Raw genomic sequence first — 16273 nt, forward strand, 5'->3', positions numbered from 1 at the left:
ATAAAGCATGACAGCCAGGAACATTTCCTGAGTGGCTCTTATGTGGGAGGGTTTGGAAACAGAAGTTCATAAAGTACATGAAAATGAGGATGAGACCAGGATGAGAAGATCTTCAACACCGCCCTTGACTCTATGTTGGGGGAGTTGAGGCAGGTCAACCCTTAGAAGCCTGAACCTAGCATCAGAATGCTGCAGGGAGGGCTCTCTCCAGCCCAGAAGCTCCATACTGACTCATAGGAGGTATGGAACCTCTTACAGAATCCATCCCTGATGTGAACAATGGCAATGATACTGTCCCTGCCTCAGTGGGCTGTGATGAATGGGTGCAGACACACTCAGAGTTCTTGCTACAGAGCTGGGAAGAAAATAATGAAGTATCAACTAGAATGGCTCTCCACATGTGAAATATATGCCCCATCCTGGTGGAAAGGTGGCATTCACTGCAGCTTCAAGGGATTCAAAACACTCCTCTGCTCAAGCAGAATTTGAGTCAACACAGAACCATCAAGAGACATACAATGTGTCCCAAATATCCAGCTCATATTATTTCTGTTTCTTCCAGTTATTGACACAGCACCTTCTAGCACACACGTACTCTGCAGAAACACAAACTTATTCATTCTCCCCTTGCCCTTCTGTGTTAGGTAAAATCTGGAAATTAGAATCCTCATTTTGCAAATACCAAATAACTGAGAAACAGATCAAGCTGCGACTCACTGAATCTGGAGCAAAAGCAGGTTCTATCTTCTGTCTCCTTCCTTGTGAGCTCGAGTTCCTGCTCCACTAGCCTAGATGTCAAGGTGCTTTATCCTTCTCCCTGCTCTGTTCTTTCTTTCTTTCCTTTTTGTAAAAAATGAATGAATCTTTCTTTGATAGGAGTGACAAAGGAGCATACAGAAGAGGTATGGAAATTTCAGAAGGGATGGGGTTCCTTCCTGCAGAATCTGACACTGGATCCCTGATTTACACAACCCTGGCACTGCCCCAGGAGCAGAGAAGGAAAAGTGCAAAGCAGGCTGTGCACATCCCCATCCATCTGATCGGCTCACCGGGTCCAAGCCTGGGAGATGCCTGCCAGGGAACTGTCATCTGTTCACTTTTACACACAGTCCACAGATGGAGCCCTCCAAGGTCAGTGGATGAGGGACAGGCTGTGACAGGAGGAAAACTGGGAGTCAGGGGGCCTGGATGCAGAGAGCATTTCTTCCAGTTTCCAAATGTGACTTTGGGTGCCTGGCTCTCAGTTCCAAAGGTTGTGGTGAGCCCTGAGTGCTGCCCCCTTCTCCTGCTTATACTTAGCAGGGTTCTATTCTCAACTGAGAGGGGGCTGTTCAAAGCAGGACAGTGAGGATCATGCTCCAGACTGTTGTTGAGAGACACTGAGGTCTGATACAGAAGAATGATGTCAAGTCCAAAGACCAAGGAAGGGGAAGAAGGGAGCTAGATAGCAGCTGGGGAAGTCAATGCCAAAGGAATTAGGGACAACATCAGGTTTCAGACTGTGGTTCAGAGTGAGCCCCCATCTGTGAGTGTGAGCTAGTGCCTCTCTGGAACACCAGCACCACCCCAGGAGCCTTACGGCTTCATCTGCAAAAGGGGTCATTGTACCTGTGGAGGAGGCGTCTCCTTAGGAGTAGAAGAGAATTTATGTGAAGGAGACTCTGGTCAGTGCTGAGCCCAGATCATGGGTGGCTCCGTGATGAACTCAGGTGGGTCCCAAACATCAGACATTCCCCTACCCATCCCACAGTCAGCCGAAGCCTCTTCTTCACCATCAACAGCAAATGGGCACACACTGAAAACCTTGGCTGTGCCACATTTCTTACCTATGTTGATTCTTTTACTCTGCAATGATGCCGCACCTGGGGCCTGAGAGGGAAGGGACCCACCCAGGGTTGTTCCACCGTAGATGGTGCAGCCAAAGGGAGCTGCAGCCTGGCCATACCCTCACTCCTGGTCACCACGCTGCCACCTTTCCACCATGCCAGTCCTGTCCTGATCTAGGAGGAAAGTGAAGGCTGCCAAGGGATCTCCAGCAGAGCCTTCTTTTACAATTATAGTAGAAATTGGATCCTTCTTATTTCACTACTCTGGTTTTGTTAACAGGCTATTTATGTGGCACTAACTGCCCATGGGGGTCAAGTCCCCAATGGGCTAGAATAAAGGGAAGATGTGATATCCTTTCTTCTTCAGCAAAAAAGGATTGCTGGTATTGCTCCTTTAAACTTCTAGCCCACTCACCTGGGAGGTTCAGCCTGCCCTGTCACCTTGGAGCACTCAGGCTGCTGGGCATGTCCTGACTTTTCCCTTTTCACGTTCCCTTTGACTCTGCAGGAGGGAAGCGGGTCCAGTTGATCTGGAGAGGCTGAAAGGAGAGAGAACTGAGGCAGAAGTAATCAGTGGAAATTCCAGAGGGAGACAAATCAGAACCCACTGTCTAAGCACAAAGGGCTGCTGGCTTAGTAAAGTGAGGCTAAGGTGGGGAGGTCAGTGAGCCAGGGAGCCTGCCCACCTGCAGAGTGGCTCTGCAGCTTTGTCCCTGTAGGAGGAGGCCCTGAACTCTGCACCCACCTTGGTGGGCTGCGCATTTTGTGCTGTGAGACCACTGCAGGTGCAGGCTCAAAGCCCTGCCCCTGCAACCCTCTCCACCAACGTGCCTCCTGAGGGGCAGGTAAGGCAGAGGTAGGCCTCAGGGTGCCACCCCCATGAAGTTGCGGGTGCCCTGCTTACTTCTCTGGGCTCTGCCTTTGCCTTGATAACTAGGGGACAGTTAGGTGGTTTGCAGGAAAAAGACATGTTGCTGTTGAAAATTCTGTTTTCAGGCTGGGCATGGTGGCTCACAATTATAATTCCAGCATTTTGAGAGGCTGAGGTAAGAGGATTGCTTGAGGCCAAGATTTTGAAATCAGCCTGGGCAACGTAGCAAGACTTCTCTACAAAAAAGTAAAAAATAAATAAAATTTTCAGTGCAGCAATTGGGTTCTTTTTTTTTTTGAGATGGGATCTTGCTATGTTGTCCAGGCTGGCCTTGAACTCCTGGGCTCAAGTGATTCTCCTGCTTTAGCTGCCTGAGTAGCTGGGACTACAAGTGTGTGCCATGGCATATGGCTAGCAGTTGTTATTTGTTTACACTATGTTATGAACAGAATGTCTGTGTCTCCCCCCAAAATTTATACATTGTAACCCTAAACCCCAATGTGATGGTATTCGGAGTTGGGGCCTGCGGGAGGTCCTTACGGCTGGAGGAGGTCACAAGAATGGGCGCCCATGATGAGATCAGTGTGCTTGTAAGATGAGGAAGATACTGACCTCTTCTTGCTCCGCGTGAGGATGCAGTGATATGGCAGCCATCCTCCACCAGGAGGAGAGTCCTCGCCTGTCAGCATGCTGAGCATGGACTTCCCAGCCTCCAGAATTATGAGAAATAAATGTATACTGTTTTTTAAGAATGTATTTTTCTACTTGTTTGCTTTTGGGGAGTCTAAACAGTTTCTTGACAGGACAAAGTACATTATTATTAGAGATAATGCAAGTTATTAATTACCAAATATATTTGTATAGAAAGAAAAAAGACACAAAATATCTATGAATTGTAAGAAATAAGCACTGTTGCAGTACAAATATCCCAAAACATTCATGTGGTGCCATGTGCAGCTCTCCGAAGCTCTTCAGCTCTAACCTGGAACAGCCGTGCTCAGGGTGATGCTGCTGGGAGTCTGGAGATAGATGAAGACACTCCCCCCACACCCGCCTTCATACTCGCACATGCACCTGCACACTGGGACACACACTTGTGCAACACATGTAGTCCTTACACTGGAAAAGCCTCCAGTCCAGTAAGTGAAGCACAAAAGGTGAATAAATAACAAAGCTCCAGACAGGAGAGGGTGCAGCCCACAGAGAGGGGGGCAGGCCCGCTGTCATGTTCCCAGGAAGTGGGATGTAGTCAATGGATCTTCCTTCCAGGGTGGGCTAGCTTTGCAGCCAGGAAAGGGGGATAGGAAATGGGGATTCAAGGGGCCACCCTAACAGAGAGTCATGGCCCATGCCTTCAGGTGTTTGCATTGCAAAGAGTGTGAGAAACATCAGTGTGACTATTTCAAAGCAAGTGAAGAATCATCAAGGCTCATCACCATTCTCTGCAGTCTGGGGAAGATCACTCACAGCTTACCTATACCAATCCGATTCTATCACTCTATTCACAGGTTGCTTGCAGCCCAGGATGAAGCCCAATCTCCTAAAACCTGGTGTGAGGCCTTTAGTGATGAGACCACTACCCATCTTTCTGGCCTCACCTTACGCATCCTACACTCTGGTGCTCCATGCTTCTTCAAACTCAAAAATCAGAAAGAGCAACACTGCCCCTAGGAGCACCGCCTTCCCCCACCCCCAGGGTCACAAGCACCCACACACAGGCCACCCCTGCTCCTCAGGTCTCAGCAATCTTGATTACTCCCTGTCTTCATGGGGCCCCCTCCCTCTCTGCTCCCCCAGGAGCCCTTCCTCTCCCCTTTGGAGCAGTCATCACTCTGCATAATCACTGCTGTTTACTTGTCCTTTTGGGCAGGGCCATACCTGCCAGGCTCACCTGCTCCTGTGCCCCCAACAGCTGCTCTGTATCTGTCCAGTAGCAGACACCAACAAACACTCGCCAAGCCAACTGACAAACACAGAGGCAAGGAAAGAATACATCTGGGGACTGGGCCTCCCAAAGTGTGACTCTACCACTGTGGATACAACAGCTTCTTCGTTATTGGTTAAATCACTTTGTTTTGCTATTTTTTTCGCCATGGCTGCGGGTGAGAAAAGCTTTATGTACATTTGACAAGGTCTATCTTAGCTGATGAGTCCTCTTTCAATCAATTCTGTATTTTCAGGTGGCTCTTGAACAGAAGGAACTCTTCTTTATGCTGCTGGCCAGGGCAAATGTGTCCTGTACCCCCAAATTGGATAGATGATGTGAGGCCATGCTTAATACATGCTATGGGAGGAGACCCTTGTGGGACCTGGGTGCCTGATAGCAAGCAAACTGCATTAAAGGAATGCCCCTAAGGACCAGCTGCCATGCCAGCTGTGCAGAAGCAAAATAAGGGTTCTTTGTGGGCCAGTGCTGATCTGCATGACAACTGCCCAGGGAACAGAAGCCAGCATGCTGCAGAGAGTTGCCTTTGGTTCAGGCACTCGCCTGAGTAAGTTCCTTTGTTTAAAGGCATTCTTTTCTTAAAATATGAATGATAAACAGAGAATCACAAAAATGAAATTGCTTACCTTTGTGTTTCCTTCCTCCAGTTTCACATGCTGCAGAATTACACAAGTGGTTATTTTTGCAAAAGAATTTTTTTCGCTCGCAGAAAAAAAGCAAATGCAGCAAGAAATATGTCTTCTTGAGCCAAAAAATGGGTTCTTAGGCCTTTTAGAAAGTGCCAGCAACCATGCTAATAATTAATGACGTTTAAATGCTTAGTTCTGCACCAGCAATATTTTCAAGAATCCCAACCTCTTAGTTTTTCTTGATGCTAGAGCTACACTTGTACAGCAAAAAAAAAAAAATACAGTCTTCCTTTATCTTAGTAAAGAGGTGCATTGCACTGTTCGCTTGGTGCCTAGATTGAAGTCGATGTCTGTATCCATTTTTGGAAGCTCGAGTTTTTGAGCATATGCTACAAATTCTGGCCTCACAGGTCATCCTGTAGCAAAGTTTTGTAAAGCTAAGATTTTTCTTTCTCTTTTCTTTTTTTTCCCCTAATCTCTAATGGTCCTGAGAACAAGCATGTTTTCCAGCTTTCAGCTGAACTACAATTTTCTTAAAGATACTGAAGATTATGATACCACATTCAGTCATAATAATAGGTATGTATTATGGGATAATTAACTGAATCATAGAAATTATTAACTAGATAAAATTCAAAGAGAAGCCATCTGCTCAGGCAGGACAGGGGTGAGGCAGGTTTCTGGGGGACATGAGGACAGCCACTTTGTTGACACAAGGAGGATGCAGGCTCTGGTGTGGACAGGCTGGGTCATTACCCATGATAGCCAGAAATGCCCAGGAGAATGTAAGGCCAAGTCTGTGTTCAGGTCAAGTGACAATCTAAGAACAAGAAGTGGAAGACTGAGGTCAGGAGAGAGCAGAACAACTGCAGGGCCAGCCATACAGGACAACAAAAGAAAGAGCCGCCACGTCCTTATGGGCATGTGGGGGGCTTGAACTTAGTGTTCTGTCTTACCTGATTTCTGGCTGTCCGTTGTGTGAATGGGCTGCTCACTGGTGATGGTTTAGGATCTCTCCCAACTGGACGGCATAAACAAAACCTACCTGTGCGATTATCTGCTCTAAGCAGCCTTATGACCCAGGCTCAACACAGGCTCATATTTAGAAAAAAGATAAACTGGACACCTAAAGTCTTGAATTGAAATCTAGATCTCTAATGTAGACTTGGGCAATGCAGGAATTCCACATTTTAAATGACACAGCAAGATTTCCTAGGATCCTATTTTGACATCTCTCTTGTGCTAGAGGGAACCCGCCTCACACATTCAGGTACCACTCAGCAATGCGGGTGATGTCTCTTCCGCCCCTGGAGGACAGAGGCTGATGGAGGTGCATCTCCTCTTCATCCCCTGGCTGGGTGATTCTGAGAAACACACTCTTCCTTCCAAAGGGTTGGAGAGTGGCTGCTGCCTGCAGTAGTGACCAGCTCAGGGATTCTTCTGCCATCTGGCTCCCCTCCCGCCCTGCTGGCCACCCACTGGCCCCTCACTCCTTTTTCCTGGGATTATTTTCCAAATAAACGTCCTGACTGAGCTCTCCAGCCCTGGTTTTGGGAAGGGAGACACAGGCCAAATGTCACATTCTTTCTGGGTATTTTAGCACCTCTGGTTTACTGAAGCGTGACAAATCTTATCCAATTTATCCAATTAAGGTTTGTGAAATTGTGAACTTGGCTGAGGGAAACTATTCCAACAAAGAATGGGCATAAGAACACCAGATAATAGGTAGCAAAAGCTGCCATTTTGGCTTCCATGGGGTATTGGGCAAAGATGGGTCTTAGAAAGGTCTGCTGACAAGCACAGCAGTGCACTGTGCCCACGGTGCCCACAGCTCCTCTCCTGCGTGCTCATGGTTTTCAGTGCCCTGGACTTGCCTTTCATGCTCAATGCCAGTATGCCCACTTTCTAGATGGAGAAACTGACATTTCAAGAAGATGAGGAGCTTGTTGAATGTAAGCAGGTAAAGGTCGGATGTGAAGGATTAAACTCACCCGGCCTGCCTCTGAAGCTGGCATCCTCTCCACCATACCATGCTGCATTGCCAACCCTCCTAGATAGGCCTGGGTGGTTCTTCAGGAGCCCACATTTTCATATTCTCAGAAGAGAAACTAAAGCTGTCCAAGGACTGAGCACAATACTCAATACATTGTTGGTGTGAGCCATTGAGCAGCAAAGTCCATAGGAGCTAGGGGCAGCCAGATGGAATCAGCCACTGATATCTGGGGCATCTGATCCAGACACAACAGTGTCTGCTACACTCAGCCTCTGCCCCCTTGAAACAAGAAGGTCCCCAGCTGAGGGAGAGACACAGTCATGGTCTTAGGTTCTGAGGGTCTTCACACCAGCATCGGCTTGGTGCCAAGGATCTAGACTTTGCCATTTCTCTCAACGTCTCAGAAAAAGCACCAGCAGCTCTTGTCTTGCCAACTGTCTTTAAGAACAGTGACCAGCCAGCTCCACTCAGGAAGGCACTGCCAGCACTCTGAGCCCGCCCTTGCCTCCTACAATGCCAGGCAGCACATAGAATAAGCTCATTTCAGAAGTGAGGAAATCCAGGCTCAGTTAATCAGGATAGAGTGTGAGAGACAGCAGCAGACACTTGCCTCCAACCCAGGCTTGGCTGGCTCTGAGGTGTGAGATTCTACCCTAGCAGGGAAGCATTCAGCTGATGCCTGACAGACACCCCCTATTAATGTTGGCTACTTTGGATCCCACCCCACTTCTCACAAGTAATGTGAAGACAGGAGAGCCACTCAGTTCTCAAAATTCAGCTTCTTCATCTTCCTGCGATCATTCTGGCTGGCCCCACGGACCTTAAGATTCAATGAGGTTATATTTATAAAGAACTTATCTCATTTCTAGACATGGTCAATTGAAAAAAAAGGCCACAGATTCCTCCTGTCACTCACTGCAAGCCCATTTCCAATGTGACTTTATAGCCAAAGAGTACAGGATATCTCCCCAACTCCTGAATCTGGCCTGGGCCATTTGACCTGCTTTGGTCAATGAGATGATGTGACGTCACCCTGAAGAGCCATGCACATTGAGGTTTGCCTTCCCTTATTGCTGTCGGGCACCCTGAAGCCACCACTGGGTGAAGAACTCTGAGCCAGCCTACAGGAAAAGGACAGACATGGCCCACAGCCAGTCTACTCCCAGAAATGTAAGGTCTTTGGCTGCCAGCTGACCGCAGATGCCTGAGTGAGCCCAGACAGCAGTGTGAGGCAGAGGCAATCCATCCCAGATGGCTCAGCCCAAATCATCAACCCACAGCATTGTGAGCAAATCAGTGATTATCATTTTAAGCCACTGAGTTTCAGAGTAGTTTGTTCAGCAGCAATAGATAACTGATACAACCAGCACTATAGAAGTTGCTTAAAACATATTATCTTTCTCTCTTCCTTATTTCTTTTCAAAGAGCTGTAATGAATGCACGGGCAAGACTGCTGATGTTGGAACTGAGCAGACCCGGACATGCCCTTGACCCCTCTACTCAGCCTCGCTGTAACCATTTCCTCACCTGTGGAATCAGAGGGCTGGACTAGATGACTGCCAAGGTCCCAACCGACTCTAGCCTTCTGACCTTCTCTTGCATCTTTTCTCTTGTTTAAACTTTCATGTCAACATTGTCTCAGACATTTTTCTAGGTTTTGTATCACTTTCCATTCACTTTTGATAGAAATTCATGCTTTCTTTCCAGCCCCTCCTATCATGTCTAGATTGAGCATCTGAATGGATGTCTTTCTACACTTCTAAGTCAACAAGATTCAACTTTAGCAAGACACTGCCGCTTTTCAGTTCCTATATGTCATCCACTTAAGTCCCTTTAATAACAGATTTTGGGGGGGAAAGAAAAACCAGGTTAATTGCATAGCTTTAAAATTGCGTATGTGATTTGTTACCTTTGGTATTGCAAGCAATGTTTGAGGCCGAGCATTTTACATGGGTAACCTGGAGATGCTTTCTAGAAGGGCACTGTTGACCCCCAGACAGTGCATAGCAGGGCTGTTTGTAACCCCACAGTCAAAAGCTTTTGAGTTCAAGACATAAAGAGGAATATTTCCCATTTGAAAAAGTACTGAATCTGTGTTTCCCCTCATCAAATCACCTACCTCTAGGCATGTAAAGTTGGCTGGAGCCGGGCTTGGTAGCTCACACCTGTAATCCCAGCACTTTGGGAGGCTGAGGCAAGAGGATCACTTGAGCAGTTTGAAACCAGCCTGGGTAACATGACAAAATCCATGTCTCCACAAATACAAAAATTTGCCAGGCTTGGTGGTGTGTCTGTAGTCCCAACTACTCAGGAGGCTGAGGTGAAAGGATCACTTGAGTCCAGGAAGTTGAGGCTGCAGTGAACCATGATTGTGCCAGTGCACTGCAGCCTGGGCCACAGGACAACACTCTGTCTCAAAAAACACATTTACCTATGTAACAAAACTGCACATCCTGCACACGTACCCCTGAACTTAAAACAAAAGTTGAAAGTTAAAAAAAAATGTTGGCTGGAAGGTGTGGCAGCTTGCTCGGTGCCTGAGTGACAGTTCTTCCCAGCACAGGAGGTGGCCCACAGACCTCTCTTAGCTCTGAAAGTTCTGTAACATCCTCTGAGAGATAAGCATTGTTGAGAAGGTTACCCCAGTTTCCAAGAGACTTGGCAATTTCTACTGTGCCCCATTGCCTAATATGTGACAGCTCCTCACTGACTTTCTTGAAAGTCTTTATTTCAATGCTATATCACAGCATACCAGATAATATTTCAAGCCACAACAAGGGAATCACAGGTAAGAGAAACTGCCCATCGTGTGCTGGGCAACTGAGCTTCCCACCAGGAGCCCTTAATGAGCTGCTGCATCTGCCAGGAGTGGGTGACATCTGTTTCTTTACATACACGTCCTGGCCCTGTGAGTTTCTTTTGAAATGAAGTGTAAGGCCCCTTTGAATTACAGAAAGATGTGTGTGTGTGTGTGTGTGTGTGTGTGTGTGTGTCATGGGGGAAGAGTCCACCTTCTGTTTCTTTCTTTTTTTTTTTTTTTTTTGAGACGGAGTCTCACTCTGTCGCCCAGGCTGGAATGCAGTGGCGCGATTAAATTCAAACAGCACCCAGGAGACAAAGGCGAGTCCTGGCTGCAGCCCAGGCAGGTGTTCTCTCGTCAAAACAAAATCTGCCTCAAAAGTCAATCCAGAGGCTGGGCAAGTGAAAGAGCAGTGACTTAGAGGCAGGGAACCCGAGCTTCAGGCTACTCCTGCACATTGGGTGGCTACACAATCTCAATTACCCTTTTTAAACTTCAATTTCTTCATTTGATAAATGGGATCAATGACTCTCCACCTCAAATGGGTCTAATAGTATCTGCTCAACCTAATGGCTTAGATGGGAAACTGCTTTATTCAGGAAAGGACTCCGGAAAGGTAAGCTGCTTTATTAAAGTGTGGTGGCATGTTCTTCCAAGTTGAGAAGTTCTGCTAGATGGGAGAAATGAACAGTGCCCGTTTCTGAGTGTTCCAGACCACAGCCTTGCAGCTCTGGGGACCTAAAGGAAGAAACATCAGGTGTGTCTCGCGGGGCTGCAGACATGAAGACGGGGATGGAATTCAGGTGATAGTACTGGTTCCACTCATCCGCGCCTCCTTCAAATGCCTCCTTCTGGCACTCTGCATTTCAGCATTCTCTTTGGGCTGCGGAGGCTCCCTAGAAGCCACGTCCCCTGAAAGGAATATAGGAAGGACCTCTTGTTCCTGGCACCACCTTTAACTCCTGCCCCTGCCCACCAGGACACCTGGGCAAGACGCAGCGCAATGGTGGGTTACCAGGCAGGAGGGAGGGCTCTAGGAAGGTTGGGAGCCATGGAACTCTGGAGCTTAACCTTCTCTGACCACCAGTGTACCAGCCTGCGGGTGGCAGGACTGGGGCCTCTGCCTAGTGTTGAAACGGGGGCGCACAGATGCTTTTCTAAATAACTTTTGACCCCCTTTCTGGTAAATCTTTTTTTCAGAGTTGATTCTCTATGAAATCTACACTGCAAACACCACCTCCTCCGCTCCTAGAACGCAGACTGTCTTACCACCGCCCTAGTTTCCTTCCAATTCCAACTGGGGCGGGCCCGCCATGGGCCAACAACAGGCTGGCTCAGGGCTGAGGGGGTCTCTGGAGTCTGAACTCCGCGCCCGCTTGCTCCTCCAGGGCTTAGCTGGTCAGGACTTGAACATTCGCCGGATCCATAAATTGGGTCATTTTTAACCTCAAAACCGAACCGCAGCCTGGGGAGGCCTTTAGGACCGAGGGGAGCCATCCCTTCCTCTAGTCGGGCAGCAAATTCCTGTCCTCCTAGTCCCCCGCAGCTATCCCCCGCCCCCAGCCTCTGTGGCCCTCACATTGTCAGACACTGGCCGCGGGCCACCATCTGGACGCGATCCCCCGCTAGGGCCTCCCTGGTCTGGGCCAAAGTTGGTGGCCACCTTCGCGCGGGCTGCGCCCTCCTTCTCTTCCCTGCCCTCCTCCCCCGGGGCCCGCGCCCGCTGCCTCCAGCACGCGCGTCGGCAGGCTCGGCAAGCGAAGAGGAGCGGCTCGCCCCAGGGCGCCCCTCGCCCAGCCTGCCGGCCAGGCGAGCGCGACGAGAGTCTCCCCGCACCCCTTCCTCTCCCGGGGGCCGAGAGGGTTGGGCTCCGCCCCGGCGCCGCAGCTCCCGACTCCCCGCCGCTCGGGCTGCCGCCGCTGCCCCGCGCCCGGCGCTCGGGGCAGCCGGGGGCGCAGGCGGAGAGCGCAGGGCGGGGAGAGGCGTGGGGAGCAGAGCGGCGCTGAGGGGAGGGCAGAGGAGGAGAGAGCCTGGCAGCGGAGGAGCAGAGGCGGGCGCCGCACCGCCCCGCACGCTCGCTCGCTCGGGAGAGTCGCGGGCGGCCGCTTGGGCGCACTTGCCGGGTCACCTTGTCCCGGAGGTAAGTCCAGACCTCCCGGCCGCGGGGGCGGGCGGAGGGGCCCGCAGTGGGCGGGGTCGCGGCAGGGGCCGCGAGCTGGCGGCGGGAGCTGGAGGCTGCCCTGCGCTGGCGGGTGTCCTAGTCCTGGCTCCGCCTCGGAGCGCGCAGACCCGGCGGCGGCGTGGCGCCCGCGGTAAGTCCGGGTGGTCGCCGCGACGAGACTTGGGAGACACGGGGTCGCAGGGCGGGAGGGGGAGCTGAGCCGGCAGAGAAAATGCCCAGGAAGGGGTCGATGCTGGCCTGGGCTGCACCTTGGTGCCTTGCCACCCCGGGAGACGCGAAGGGGCTGCTGTGCGAATTCGATGGGAGCTGGTGAGACCGAGAACTGAGAGCGTAGCGGAGCCAGGCTGCCCAGCAGGGCCATGAGGGCGCGCGGCGGGCCAAGGCTCTGCGGGTTCGGGCTGCCCCTCGGAGTGACCCGAAGGAGACCAGCCAGGGCTGGTGAGCCGGGCGGCCACGGAGCTGGGGACCTAGGTCTGTTTGGGAGTAGGAAGGGAAACAGACTAATTCTCCGAGCGGAGCGGCAGGCAAGGTGCAAGCGCGCTTGGGATGGGGAATCCCGACGGGCGACCGTGGCGGAAGCAGAGACTCCTGGAGCCTCTTTCCTCTAGCCAGGACAAGACCTGCCTTCAAAAGCTGTCTGGCCCCTGGCAGCCGCGACAGCCTGCAGCCCTGGGAGCCACAGCCCTGGCGCCGAGATGGGAGCGAGCACATACGCTTTTTTGGTTCCAATTTGAATCTCGCTTTTTCCTAGTCGTGATTTCTGCCTCTTCATGTGCACTCTCTGGGCAGTGAGGAGGAAGGAATGGCTCACTGGATGAGTTGGGCACTTTTCTTAGGGAAGGGGCTTTGTCCCTATGCGCTTTTTGCAAGACCCTACTAGAGTGGCTCTGGCAGCCGAGCTTTGAGGAGGCGGCCAGAGGGGCCGCTTGGCGTTTCTGAAAGACGAGAGGAAGGGGTCTTCTGGTAGTCCTGTTTTCCTTTGGGGGTTTCGTTGCACGCAGAGGCTTGGGCGCTTGGCACCCAGACTTCAGGTGCGCACAGTCCTCCTGCGACGTCAGATGCGCTGGCGCCGCGGCGCTCCTGGCTCGGACCGATGCCTGCGCCTTCCCTGGCCACGTCCTGGTGTTTAGTGCAGCAGACACCGGCCGAAGGCTTGGCTGATTGGGGGTGTCGAGGGGAGGGGGGCTGGGCGTTACACAGTGGCTCCGTTTTCTGGTTGGAATCAGTTGGTGAGGCGTGCGCGCGCGAGTCCGTGTATCTGTCCGTCTCCCTCCTACAGCCCAGCGTGTTTGGTCTGAGTCCAAAGAAGGAGGTGGTGTGTGTGCTGCGTAGACCTGCGCCTGTGGGGTGAGCAGCCTCATAGCCCCCAGAGCCGGCCAACTTCTCCGTGCTAGGCTGCGACCTCAAGGGCTGCCGCGTCGGGGATCGGAAGTGGTCTTCAAAGAGGGGTCTAGGTCGCGAAATCCTGGCAGCAGCCGAAGTGAAAAGGAGCTGCTAGGAGGCGGGCGGGGGGCAGTCTGATGTCCGTTCTGGCGCGGACAGGAAGAAACTGAAGTCGAATTTTTAGTTGAATTGCGTGCTCTGTGTTTGGCGGTGGTGTGGCCCGTTCTTTTGGAGGTCCACACCACAGGTATGAGGCCTGTGGGCCCTGAGGAAGCGCGATCCCCTTAATTCCTCCCTCCCCTCTCTCTCCACCGCCCGCCCCTTTGCAAGGAGCAAGCCTGACAGTAGCTGATCGGCGCCCTCTCTCACCCTGTCCCCATTTCCTGCCTGAAAACGGAATCCTCATAATCAAGAGGGCCTTGTTAAAAAAAAAAAAAAAAAGGAAAGAAAAGATGGAGAAACCTATTTTTAAACTTTTTTATTATGGAAAATTTCAGTTGTACACAGTGACAGACAGAGAATAGCACTGAAGCTTTGTGTACCCCCCACCCAGTCACCACCTGCAGTTACCTTTGGTAGAGTTTTGGAGGCCACAGAGTTTTGGAAGCCTTGTTTGATGAAGTATTTCAAAACTCATTCCAAAATGCTAAGTATTGGATAGTAGGTTAATTAGCTCCATTCAGTCATGACACATTGTATACGCATATCACAGCATCATTTTGTACCCCATAAACATACACAATTATAATTTGTTAATATCTGATAAAATAAACCAATTCAGTAAAAATACAAAATCACTTTGATGTAAACTTCAAAAAAATAAAAAAACCATTCCAAACTCACTTCACCTCTAAACACATCCCTCTGTATCTCCAGCTGATGACATTTCATTTTATGTTCACCTATCAGAAATGTCAGTTTTTAATAACCCCATTAGAGTATAGGTGATATTAAAATAAAAATGAAGGCCCCCTCCATTCCCATTTTAGGGTAGAAAAGGAAAACCTGCCAACTTTACTTGAGGCGTACAGGGGTGAGATATTGAAGAAGGAAAGACAAGTCCGGATCCTGGGAAGACAGATATGTTAGCAATAGGAACAGACTCATTCTAATTCATGAAGGGCGTGAACACGATTCTGGTTGAGCCATGATAGGCAAGAGAATTTTTTTTGATAAAAACTTTAAAACTCAGTTCAAAAATTATAAGCAATTAATTTCTTCCACATTTAGCATTGAGATAAATTAAAAGTGCTCTACCAGACTTGAGTTATTTTTCTCATTAATTTTAAATCGTATTTTCTAGGGAGTTATTACTATTATCAGAGAATAGAAAGTTGTTTTCTTATGTAAGATTTCTATCTGAGGCACTAGTCGGTGCTATTCTGAGGTTCATGGAGAGTACTGAACATTTCATTGTCTAATTAGAAAATGTTTGGTCATCCTCCAGGTCACACCTGCTCTGCCCTCTGAAAAGGCTCTGTGCTTGCTGAGATGTGATATTCACTGTGACTTCTACTGTCTGGAGAGGCATGGCACGCAGGGAGGCACTGGAGGCAGTGGGAGGGGAGGCCCTCCCTCCACCAGCCCCCTCCCATTCTGCACACCTCTGTGCTTTCCTGTATATAAAAGCAGTTCCTAAAAATTGTCAGTGATGTTCTTAGAGGAGTCAGTCAGACTTTTGAATACCTTTATAAAGTGCACTATTTAAAGGTGTCCTTAGTTAACCTTTTGTAAGATGAATAACCATCTTGTAGGTGAGCAGTTTTATGTCCTGTCACCCATCCCCAAATAAAACCTTGTCTTTTCATGACTCCAGCTTGACCCTGTGCCCCTCACATTGGCCTTTCAGACCCTCATGCACATTGGAAAATGCAGGCTCCATCTCAGAGTAAATGTACCGCTGTGGCCCATAGTTTGAACAGATGTCACATTATCAGCAAAATTCTTTGAATGAGTGGGTAAAGGTGACAAGGACTGAAGTATGTGGGGTGTTAATTTGACAACACCAGCAGAACACTAGGGGTAAATGACTAGCAAAACAGCCTCTTGTATCAGTGGAAAGTTGCATAAGGTCATTTTGGGGCAGTGCACTGATAGAAGTTTTTGGAGCCTTAGCTCTTGACCCGGCATCACTACACTAGGGGCATGGTGTCAAAATCTCTACAAAGCAGTATTCAAAACATTAGAGATAGGCTGACCAGGTCTCTAACCACGTCACCAGAATTAGAATAATGAAGTTGTCGGCAGGAGGTTTGAACAAATGTGGTTTCTCAGCATTCTCTGTGCAAGATGCCCATTTTGAATGATTCCTGAGAGATCCTAAACTTGTGTTCAAAGAGCAGATGAAGTAACCCGGGCACCAGCTATGATTCAGTGCCCTCATGGTTGCTTTGCTTATGTCCAGGCAGCATATTGGATTGCACGGGGAGTGGGGGAGGGACGCACTGGGGAGACAGGCGTGCAGAGTGTCTCCTGTCTCCAGGCTACTCCCTCTTTCCCCCTGGGCCTTTCCCGAGTGCCATGAGCAGACATAGGCTCCAGAATCTGGAAGGTCCCATTTGTTTTCTCAGAATGCCATGTGAATACAAATTTACCCAGAGAAACATTGAGACAATGAAGTGTCCTCAATCCAGTGTCTTTTTCA

General features: G+C 49.8%; 1 protein-coding gene across 21 annotated transcripts in view, besides 1 other annotated feature; it reads left to right on the plus strand.

Annotated features, from left to right (window-relative positions):
• Window positions 3612-4519: an enhancer, noted in NCBI's record as "H3K4me1 hESC enhancer chr20:24441797-24442704 (GRCh37/hg19 assembly coordinates)". NCBI's record gives its function as "activates a minimal SCP1, AML or CMV promoter by ChIP-STARR-seq in naive H9 embryonic stem cells {active_cell/tissue: H9 hESC(naive)}" and the evidence as "EXISTENCE:reporter gene assay evidence [ECO:0000049][PMID:30033119]".
• The window catches only part of SYNDIG1 (synapse differentiation inducing 1), a 196988-nt gene continuing 192794 nt past the window's right edge, over window positions 12080-16273 (plus strand). For 10 of the 21 annotated variants that reach the window (NM_001323606.2, NM_024893.3, XM_047440499.1 and 7 more), the window contains exon 1: window positions 12080-12204. The gene's annotated coding sequence lies outside the window, so the exon portion shown is untranslated. Of the gene's footprint in view, window positions 12205-12323; window positions 12685-16273 lie in introns of those variants that run through there. The other 11 variants (XM_017028065.2, NM_001323607.2, XM_011529351.2 and 8 more) reach the window with 3 other exon arrangements.

This window comes from Homo sapiens, chromosome 20, assembly GCF_000001405.40.
Source record: "Homo sapiens chromosome 20, GRCh38.p14 Primary Assembly".
NCBI classification, from domain to species: Eukaryota; Metazoa; Chordata; class Mammalia; order Primates; family Hominidae; genus Homo; species Homo sapiens.